The sequence below is a fragment of the Homo sapiens genome, chromosome 5 (assembly GCF_000001405.40).
Source record: "Homo sapiens chromosome 5, GRCh38.p14 Primary Assembly".
In the NCBI taxonomy this organism is placed as follows: Eukaryota; Metazoa; Chordata; class Mammalia; order Primates; family Hominidae; genus Homo; species Homo sapiens.
In genome coordinates, this window is record NC_000005.10 from 154,972,640 (window position 1) to 154,984,531 (window position 11,892).

Here is an 11,892-nt window from a genome sequence, read left to right on the forward strand (position 1 = left end):
CTTTGATATTCTGTGACATGGTTTATGTCCAACAGAGGGCAGCATGGCCTAGCTGTGAGTGCCTGGCCAGCTTCTGAATGTCAAGGGCTGCTCTTTTCTTTTCTTTCTCAAATGCAAGAGAAGGGAATTGTTGAATAAGCTGATTTATTGTTTTTGCCACAGGTATCACCATACTTAAAGTGAAGCTCTGGTGTTTCCTGCTAAGTTCAGGTATAAGACAAGTATGCCGACTATCCATGATCATTTAATATTTTCTGAAAGTTTAGCCAAAACAGTAAAACAAATGAAATAAGAGAAAAATCTTTGGAAAGGAGGAGGCAAATTATTATTTACATATAATTGCCTATCTAGCAATCTAATAAAGTAAACAGAAAAAATATTTGAAGTAAGTAGAGTTCAATAAGGCAGTTGGTTACAAAATCAATATGCCATACACACACACACACACACACACACACACACACACACACACACACACACACACTTATTTAAGAGACAGGGGTCTCACTGTTTCTGTTGCCCAGGCTCAAGCTCTGGGGCTCAAACCCTTCACCTCAGCTTCCCAAGTAGCTAGGACTACAGGCACATGCCACTGTGCCCAGCTAAAGCTTATCTTTCAAAATCAACAACTCAAAAGAAAAGATAATTTTTAAAAAGTATTAAAAATAGAAACTAAAATATAAAATATCTAGGAACAAACTTACATAAGTAGGCAGGACCCATAGAAATAGAACTGTAAAACTTTATTGAGGGATTTGAAAGAAGACTGGAATAAATGATAGGGCATACCCATTCTTGAATGGCATAACTCAAGAATTCAACCACTTCAATTCTAATAAAAATGTCAAAAGCATTTTTTTAACTAGAGAATATAATTCTAAAGTCACCTGGGAAGCTTAATAAAGGGATGAAGAAATTTTGGAAGATTGAGGGGTGACTTACATTGCTAGGAAGAAAGGTTTATTATTAAAGCAGCATGATTCTTATGTAGCCTCCCAGACAGGCTCAAGTATATAGATTTGATATAGGATAAAGGTGGAATTGAAATATACTTACACTTCTGCTTAGGATATAGCTGCAAAGCTCATCACTCTCACCCTAACAATGAAAATGACAGGTAAATGACAAAATCATTACTTTTGTTGAGCCCGTAAGAAAGAATAGCTTCTGAGGCAACCAAGTAAGCTAATTCAAAAGAGAGACAAGTTCCTCCAAGGAGAGATGAGCTATGCAAACTGTCTTAACTGTCAGAGCACAAAAAGAGGGGCCACCACTTTTTAAGTGGATTAGAAATCAGGGAAATTGTTACATGCTGTCAAAATCCATGTGTGGATTAGTGGGCATTTGTTTTATTATTGTTCATGACACTGTGCTGCCTTCTGTGTATATGATGTATTTTAAAGTAGGGAAAAAGTAAATTTGGGGTCCAAATGTAATTTCCTGCATTTTTACACACAGGGGAATTTAGCCACAGAGAGGCTGGGTCCATTGGTGAAGATCAATTACTCCCATTTCCCAGTTCAATTTTCCATTCCCTATCCAATGCTCTGGCATCTAAAGCAGCCACATGATTTAGCATAAGTTAATAGACTCTGAACTTTTAAAATCAAGGCCAGTTTAAAAGAACTTAAGTTGCAGATATGAGATGTTTAATAAAAAATGAACACATACGGGTGAAATTTATCTGACTTGGGATGGAGAAAGCTTTTTATAAAGCAAAGGCAGAAGCCATAAAGAAAAAGATGAACATCTTAGGAGTATTAAGAGATATATCTGAATGATAAGATTACAGGCAACCTTTAATTTTACTTTGTGTGTTTTTCTATATTTTTGATGTTTTCTAAGTGAAATATATATTACCTAGGTAATTAGAAAAAATAGTAAAATTAAAAATAAATATCACTTTGAGTACTGTGAGCAGAAGCAGGAATGGAAGAATGCAGCTAACTCAGGAGAAATATGTGTTTTTAGCAGCTATCATTACCTTGAGTTTTCACATAAAACCTTAAGTTTTATAGGTGGAGAGAAAAACCAGGGGAAAGCACCTGATTAAGTGGCATTAAGTGGATGCTGGTGAAAATGTGACCACATTAGAATGTTGAAATATGATGAAATTGTGGCACAGGCCATCCTTGGATGTGCAGGTTGTGACCTGAGCAGAACTGTCTTCTGACCCATCCCTGCTCATCACAGATATTAAGAGTCTGAAGAAAGCTTGGCACAGGCAGGGTGTAGAGAACACAATAGGAAGTCTTGGTAAAGTCACAGAAGCAAGAGAAGCCCTTATACCCTCCACCCAGTGATTTCAAGTGGGAGAGAAAGAACGAGAAGTCTCTTGGAGTTTATGCTTAAGCCTCACCTGACTTTATTACTTTGCTATGTGGCTAGTTTCTTTTCTTTCCCTTCTTTTCTCTCTCTCTCTCTCTCGTCTCGCTCTGTTACTCAGGCTGGAGTGCAGTGGCGTGATCTCGGCTCACTGCAACCTCCGTCTCCCGGGTTCAAGTGATTCTCCTGCCTCAGCCTCCCAAGTAGCTGGGACTACAGGAGCGCACCACCACACCCATCTAATTTTTGGCCAGGCTGGTCTCAAACTCCTGACCTGAGGTGATCCACCCGCCTCAGCCTCCCAAAGTGCTGGGATTACAGGCATGAGCCACTGCTCTCGGCCTAGTTATTTCTTTATGTCGAAGTTCCCTGCTCTGATAAGATGGTGCAAAGTGAGAGTGTTAAATGTGGCTTTTCTCTTAATGACTTGTTTTCTCATAAGCCAACAGTGTTGATTGTCTGTGTTAATGGAGAGGATTTGCAAGCCCATGACTAAGTGAAAAGTACAGACCTCTACATCCCTAAAACCTTAGCTTGATTTTTACTCCCCTCTCTGCCCTCTTTTCTAGTATTTTTCTGCACTGTTAAAACCCTCCAGTGGCTTTCCACAGGTGTCAGGATAAAGTTTAAACTTCTTGTCTTACAAATACCTGCTTTTCATTATAGCATCAATGCTCATTACCACATACTTCAACCATACCAAATGACCTATAAATACCTATGGCCTCTTATTTCATGTCTCTGGGCATTTACAGTCTTGCTAATATTACCAAATGCCTACTATTGTGTCCGGAATTGGTTCCTTCCGGTGGGTTCTTGGTCTCGCTGACTTCAAGAATGAAGCCGTGGACCCTAGCAGTGAGTGTTACCGTTCTTAAAGATGGTGTGTCCGGAGTTTGTTCCTTCAGATGTTCAGATGTGTCCAGAGTTTCTTCCTTGGTCTTGCTGACTTCAGGAGTGAAGCAGCAGACCTTTGCAGTGAGTGTTACAGCTCTTAAAGGTGGCGCAACGGGAGTTGCTCGCTCCTCCTGGTGGGTTCGTGGTCTCGCTGACTTCAGGAGTGAAGCCACAAACATTAGCGGTGAGTGTTACAGCTCATAAAGGTGGTGTGGACCCAAAGAGAGAGCAGCAGCAAGATTTATTATGAAGAGCAAAAGAACAAACCTTCCACACCGTGGAAGGGGACCCAAGTGGGTTTTCGCGGCTGGCTCGGGTGGCCTGCTTTTATTCTTATTTGGCCCTGCCCACATCCTGCTGATTGGTCTATTTTACAGAGCGCTGATTGGTCCATTTTACAGAGTGCTGATTGGTGCGTTTACAAACCTTTAGCTAAACACAGAGCACTGATTGGTGCGTTTTTACAGAGTGCTGACTGGTGCGTTTACAAACCTTTAGTTAGACACAGAGTGCTGATCGGTGTGTTTTTACAGAGTGCTGACTGGTGTGTTTACAAACCTTTAGCTAGACACAGAGCACTGATTGGTGCATTTTTACACAGTGCTGATTGATGCATTTACAAACCTTTAGCTAGATACAGAGTGCTGATTGGTGTGTTTACAAACCTTTAGCTAGACAAAAAAGTTCTCCAAGTCCCCACTCGACCCAGGAAGTCCAGCTGGCTTCACCTCTCACTATGTGTCCAGCACTCTGCTAAACGTATGCGCTTCCTCCTCATAACAATTCTTTCTTGTTGGCTTGAATACTTGAATATTGTTTCCATTTAACAAATGAGAAACCTAATGTTCAAATAAATTAAATAATTTGTCTAAGGTCACACAGCTAATAAGCAGCAGAGCCAGAATTTAAACCCAGGTTTGACTCCAAAGTCTGAATTTTTTTTCAAAGATTATGGTAAACTACACATCACATAAAATATACCATGTCAGCCACTTTAAAGTGTATAATTCTATGGCAGTAAGTACATTTACATTGTTGTGCAGCCATCACCACCATCCATCTCCAGAACTTTTAAATCTTCCCCATCTGAAACTCTGTATCCATCAAACAATAACTCCTCATATCCCCTCCCAAGAACCCCTGGCCACCACCATTCTACTTCTGTCTCTGTGTATTTGACTACTGTAGGCACCTGTTATAAATGGAATTTGTCCTTTTGTGACTGGCTTATTTCATTTGGCGTAATGTCTTCAAGATTCATCCATATTGTGGCATGTGTCAGAATTTCTTTTCTTTGAGGCAGAGTCTCCCTCTGTTACCCAGGCTGGAGTGCGGTGGCATGATCTCGGCTCACTGCAACCTCCGCCTCCCGGGTTCAAGCGATTCTCCTGCCTCAGCCTCGCGAGTAGCTGGGATTACAAGTACCCAACACCATGCCCAGCTAATTTTTGTATTTTTAGTAGAGACGGGGTTTCACCATGTTGGCCAGGCAGGTTTTGAACTCCTGACCTCAAGTGATCCGCCTGCCTCAGCCTCCCAAAGTCCTGGGATTATAGGTGTGAGCTACTGCACCCAGCCCAGAATTTCTTTTTTAAAGCTGAATAATATTCCATTATATTTATATACCACATTATCAATTCATCTGCCAATGGACACCTGGGCTGCTTCTCCCTTTTGGCTGTTGTGCATATTGCTGCTATGAACATGGGTGTGCAAATACCTCTTTGAGTCACTGCTTTCACTTCTTTTTAGTATTTACTCAGCAGTGGAATTGCTGAGTCATGTGATAATTCTGTGTTTAATTTTTTTTGAGGAAACTCCATACTGTTCTCATGGTGGCTGCACCATTTAATATTCCCACTAGCAATTCACTAAGGTTCCATTTCCTCCACAATCTCGACAATGCTTTGTATTTATTTATATTTTAATACTAGCCATCCTAAAGGGTGTGAAGTGGTATTTCACTGTGGCTTTGACTTGCGTTTCCCTAGTGATTAGTGATGTTGAGCATCTTTTCACATGAAAGCCTAAATTCCTAGGCTGGGCGTCGTGGCTCACGCCTGTAATCCTAGCACTTCAGGAGGCCGAGGGGGGTGGATCACGAGGTCAGGAGATTGAGACCATCCTGGCCAACATGGTGAAACCCCGTCTCTACTAAAATACAAAAAATTAGCTGGGCGTGGTGACAGGCGCCTGTAGTCCCAGCTACTCAGAAGGCTGAGGCACGGGAATCGCTTGAGTTAGGGAGGTGGAGGTTGCAGTGAGCCGAGATTGCACCACTGCACTCGAGCCTGGTGACAGAGCAAGATTCTGTATCAAAAAAAAAAAAAAAAAAAAAAAAAAAAGCCTAAATTCCTAACCTCTGCTTATTTGGAAATTAATGAAATTTAATTTTTACCAAAGTAATAAATGTACTTAGTGATATGGTTTGGCTCTGTGTCGCCACCCAAATCTCATCTGGAATTGTACTCCCTTAATTCCCACGTGTTGTGGGAGGGACCTAGTGGGAGATAATTGAATCATGGGGGTGGTTCCCCCCATACTGTTCTTGTGGTAGTGAATAAGTCTTATGAGATCTGATGGTCTTATCAGGGGTTTCCACCTTTGCATCTTCCTCATTTTTCTCTTACCACTGCCATGTAACAAGTGCCTTTCACCTCCTGCAATGATTCTGAGGCCTACCCAGCCATGTAGAACTGTAAGTCCAATTAAACCTCTTTTTTTCCCCAGTCTTGGGTATGTCTTTGTCAGCTGTGTGAAAATGGACTAATACATGTAGTTAACAAAATCAGATACTACTAACATATTGATAGAGAAAAGTAGTAGCACCCATTTCCCACCCCACACTAGCACCTGGTGTCCCTAAGACTGAGGTCATGTGTCAGGTGCCATTCTTTATTGTACTTACGCAGCTTTTCTCATAATAATGGAAAACAGCTATTTCCTACAGCCATACCACTATCAAAGAGAAAAATAAAAAGTTGCCTGTTTCAAGGAAATTGAAAAAGCGCATTTAAATAAAAATGATTTCTTTTGAGGCTGGGTGTGGTGGCTCACGCCTGTAATCCAAGCACTTTGGGAGGCCAAGGCAGGTGGATCATGTGAGGTCAGGTGTTGGAGATCAGACTGGCCAACATGGCAAAACCCTGTCTTTACTAAAAATACAAAAATTAGCCGGGTGTGGTGGTGCACCCCTATAGTCCCAGCTACTTGGGAGGCTGAGGCGGGAGAATTGCTTGAACCCGGGGGGGTGGAGGTTGCAGTGAGCCGAGACCGTGCCACTGCACTCTAGCCTGGGTGACAGAGAGAGACTCCATCTCAAAAAAAAAAAAAGATTTCTTTTGAAACAATTTCAAACTCATATGCAAGTTGTAGGAACAGTATATAGAACTTTGGCATACCCTTCATCTAGAGATGCCATTAAAGTTTTGCTAATAGTCCCAGTAACACTCCTGATGGCAAAGGATCCTATCCAAAGTTTCATCAGCAATGCAACCAGTTGTCCTTTTCTGTAGTTTCTTCCAACCTGGCATTGTTCCTCAGCCTTTTCCTGGCTTTCATGGCCTAGACATGGGTGAAGATTAGAGACCAGTCATTTTGTAGAATCTTCCTCTATTTGGTCTTGTCCTGTTTCCTCCTAGTTAGACCTAGGGTGTGCATTTTGGCAAGAATGTCACAGAGCTGTATTTTTTTCATTGCAACCCACTGGGTAGCACATGATGTGTATTTGGTTGCTGTTTTTTTCACTCGATTACTTATTAGGCTGGCATCTCCCAGGTGTCTCTACTGTAAAATTATTCTTTACTCTCTCTGTAATTAATAAGGATCTTGTGAGGAGAGACTTTGAGACTCTGTAGATATCTATTTCGTCATCAACCTTTCACTGACTGGAGTTTTAGCATCCATTGATTTTTCTTGACTGAATTAATTGTTACTATGATGTTGCCAAATGTTGATTTTCTGTTATCATTCCTTCTTCATCTATTAGTTGTCTTTCTACTATGAAGAAAAGCTTTCTCCTCTCACGTATTCATTTATTCTTATCAGTATGGATTCATAGGTGCTTTATTCAATGGATTGTAATCTGTTACTGTCATTATTTATTTTAATGCTCAGAATTTCCCATATTTGGCCAGGGGACACCACTTCAAATTAGTTCCTGTGTCCTTTTTATGTTTCTCCATCATTGAGCACCACCTTACTTTATGACTTAAAAAGATGTTCCAGGCTCATCTTACTCATTCTCTGGAGTCAATGATTTGAAGAGAGCAGATTTATTTGTAGAAATAGGACTACGCCTAAATGTTTAAAATGCAAAAACAGAGTGTGTTATCCAGTCTGCTTCATGTTCATACGCTACCACCGAGTCACCCAGATTTGATATTTCACCCCTGCATTGCTGCCAGGTTTGTTAGGTATCAACCCCAACAGAAGAGGTGTGCATTTTTATAGGCAATTAAATATTAGCTGTGAACTTTAGCATTCATGAGGGGGAACACAGAAAGGAATGAACACTGATCTATGTTGCAGAATTGTTTGTTTTCCTCCTCTCAGATACTCAAGAGGCTGCCAGCATAGGAGCTCTGTCTAGAGAGAAAACAGTTTTTACATATTTCTCTTTAATGGTAATAGAAGCAAAACTACTGTTGTGAAAAGACACTGGGTTTAGACTACACCATATGGCCCTGAGAGGTGTTCATCACTATAGCCTCTAATGGCTGAACTCAAAATAGCCCATATTTCTGCATTGATGGAGAATTAGCTACTGACTGCCAGGAAACACCCATTGTAGCAGCTCTTCAGCCTTGTAATTTAAAATAATTACTAATTAAATGAAAATAAAATAGAGTCCATAATAACAATAATAATCACTGTAGCATTGGTCATTACCGAAGTATTGTTTGTAGGAGTGTTACCTAGGGGAACATCGCTTGCAGAAGGGTGGAAGAACTGTGGAAGGAGCTGGGGTTTATTATTACTGCTAGGTAGGGAATCAGGACCGCTCCAGAGTGCTTGGCAACCATAGTCCTAATTTGATATTCCATCTATATTGCCAATCTCATGTTGTTTCAAGGAATTTGTTCACTAATACAGAAGGCAGCATGCCATTAAAAACCAAGGAACAGGAACAGCTGTGTGGCACTCGCCAACAGATTTATATCATTGCAGGAAACAACCCAAGCAATTACCTTGTCTTTGACAAGCATCACTCTTATCCCCATCTCAGGAAAATTGAGGCCCTTTTGCAAGAGGGCCTTTGAGTGTATATGACCAACATTAAGTGGTTATGACAGGACATATGGAATACTGTACATGGAGCCAGTTTCAGATAACTGTCCAGAGGCCTGTCTGTGTATCTAAGAAAGTAAAAGGTGGAGGCTACCTGGTTAAAGGAGGAAGACTTTCAGTTTTTATTGTTTGGGTGACCTAAAATAACATGCATTTCTTTACATGTTCATTCACCCAACAAATGTTTGAGTGCTACTATGCACCAGATATTGTTCTAGGTGCTGGGAATATTAACATAGACATGGTTGCCGACCTCAGGAATCTGACAGTCCACTGGCTAGGGAGGAATATACAAATATAGACATGTAAAAAGTACCATGGAGGAAAAGAAGAGAGTGCTTGGGGGATAGCAGGGGGACCTTTTCAGCAATGTGGCATCTGTGATGGGCTCTTTGAGGAAGTGCCATTTTTGCTGAGGCCTGAAGTCCAAGGAGAGATTAGCCAGGAAATCGAGTAGGGGAGAATGTTCAGGCAAAGGCAGTGCCATGGGCAAAGGCCCCAAATGAAGATGAACCTAGTTCACTGGAGAAACTAAAGCAGAGTGTATGGAGAAGCACAGAAACACAGAGTGGGGGAGGATGCGGCACAAGGTACGAATAGGTCAACCGACTTCCGGGACAGGTGGTCTTGGAGAGGAGTCCAGATTTCACTGTAAGTATAAAGGGAATCTTTGAAGCTGGGGAGTGGCAGTGCCTGGTTGATGTCTGTAAAAGCTCAGTCTGGTCTCTGGTAGACAATGGCCTTGGGTAGTGGGGCCTGAGCTGATGCCAGAAACCAGGTAGGAGGTCATTTAAGAATTCAGGTTGGCCGGGCACGGTGGCTCATGCCTGTAATCCCAGCACTTTGGGAGGCCAAGGCGGGTGGATGCGGGTGGATCACGAGGTCAGGCGTTGGAGACCAGCACAGCCTGGTCAGCGTAGCGAAACCCCGTCTCTACTAAAAATACAAAAAATTAGCTGGGTGTGGTGGCGGGCGCCTGTAATCCCAGCTACTCGGGAGGCTAGGCAGGAGAATCACTTGAACCTGGGAGGCAGAGATTGCGGTGAGCCGAGATCGCACCATTGCACTCCAGCCTGGGCAACAAGAGCGAAACTCCGTCTCAAAAAAAACAAAAAAAAAAGAATTCAGGTAAGAAACGACTGTCCCTTGGACCAGGGAGATGGTAGGGAATGACAGGAAGTAGACTGACTGGAAATTCATTTAGGCAGCAGCACTGACTGGGGGTGGTCAGGAGTGTGGCGGTTCCAGGGCAGGTTCCCAGGTCTCTGGCTTGAGCACAGGGTGAATGGATGTGCAGTATGCTGAGGTGGGAAGCATCAGAGGATGACTAGATCTGGATATTAAAATACCCAGATTCATTTACTGTGGTAAAATGAACATAACACAAAATTTACCATTTTAGGCCAGATGCAGTGGCTTACATCTGTAATCCCAGCACTTTGGGAGGCTGAGGCAGGAGGATCACTTAAGCCAGGAGTTCAAGACCAGCCTGAGTAACATAGTGAGACCCCCTTATCTACCAAAAAAAAAAAAAAAAAAAAGGAAAGGAAAAAAAGAGCCTTGCCATTTTAACCATCTCTAAATGTACAGTTCTACTGCATTTGTTGTGCATCCATCATTAACTGTCCATCTCCAGAACTTTACCATCTTTCCCAACTGAAACTCTGTACCCATTAAATAACTCCTTATTCCTCTTCTCTCCCTATCCCCTGGCAACCACATTCTACTTCCTGTTTCTATGAACTTGGATGCTTTAGATGCTCCCTATAAGTGGAATCATACATTATTTGTCATTTTATGACTGGCTTATTTCACTTAGCATAATGTTCTCAAGGTTATTCCTGGTTGTAGTATATTACAGGATTTCCTTCCTTTTAAAGGCTGTGTAATGTTTCATTGCATGTACATATCACAGTTTTCTTATTTATTCATCCATAAATGGACTTTCGATTGCTGCCACCACTTGGCTATTGTGAATAATGCTGCTATGAATACGGGTGTGCGAACATCTGTTCCATCCCCTGCTTCCACTTCTTTTGGGTATTTACCCAGAAGTAGGATTGCTGAATTATATGTAATTCTATGCTTAATTTTAAAATTTAATTAAAAAAATTGACAAATAGGCTGGGCATGGTGGCTCACGCCTGTAATCCCAGCACTTTGGGAGGCCACGGTGGGCAGATCACAAGGTCAAGAGATCCAGGCCATCCTGGCCAACATGGTGAAACCTCGTCTGTACTAAAAATACAAAAGTTAGCTGGGCGTGGTGGTGCACGCCTGTAGTCCCAGCTACTCGGGAGGCTGAGGCATAAGAATCGCTTGAACCTCAGAGGCGGAGGTTGCAGTGAGTCGAGATCGTGCCACTGCACTCCAGCCTGGTGACAGAGCAAGACTGCGTCTCAGAAAAAAAAATTGACAGATAATAATTGTATATACTTATGCAGCACAACGTGATGTTTTCTTATATGTGTACCTTATGGGATGATTAAATCAAGCTAATTTACACATCCATCATCTCACATACTTATTTTTGTGTGTATGTGTGGTATAAACATTTAAAACCCACTCACTTAGCAATTAAAAAATATGCATTGCATTATTATTAACTATAGTCACCATGGTGTGCAATAGATCTCAAAAACTTATTCTTCCTGTCAAGCTGAAACTTTGTACCCTTTGACCATCTATGCCTCTACATTTACTTTTTTGAGGAATCACCACACCATTTTCCACAGTGTTGTACCATTTTATATTCCCACTAGCAGTGCACAAGTGTTCTATTTTCTCCACCTTCTTGCCAACACTTAGAATTTTGTTTTTCTTTAATCATCATCCTAACGCATGTAAAGTGGTACCTCATTGTGATAAAACATTAACATTTTTAGATATTAAATTTGAGATGCCTGATAGTCACAGTTGGATATTTCAGCCAGGATTTCAGAAGAAAAGTCTTCTAGTCAGTTTGAATTCCATCAATGAAGGTGTGCAGAGAACTCTTATGAATAACTCATCATGGCCAGCTCATGCCTGTAATCCCAACACTTTGGGAGGCTAAGGCTGACAGATCACTTGAGCCCAGGAGTTTGAGGATAGCCTGGGCAGCATGGCAAATCATCATCTCTACAAAAAATATAGAAATTAGCCAGGCATGGTGGCATATGCCTGTAGTCCTAGCTACTCAAGAGGCTGAGGTGGGAGGATTGCTTGAGTCCAGGAGGTTGAGGCTACAGTGAGCTGAGATGGCACCACTGCAGTCCAGCCTGGGTGACAGAGTGAGACCCTGTCTCTAAAATAAAATAAAAATAAATACCTAACTCATCATAGTGGACCTCCCATGTTTGTTCTTAAGACTTCCTACTCCTACCAGTGTGTCCACTATTT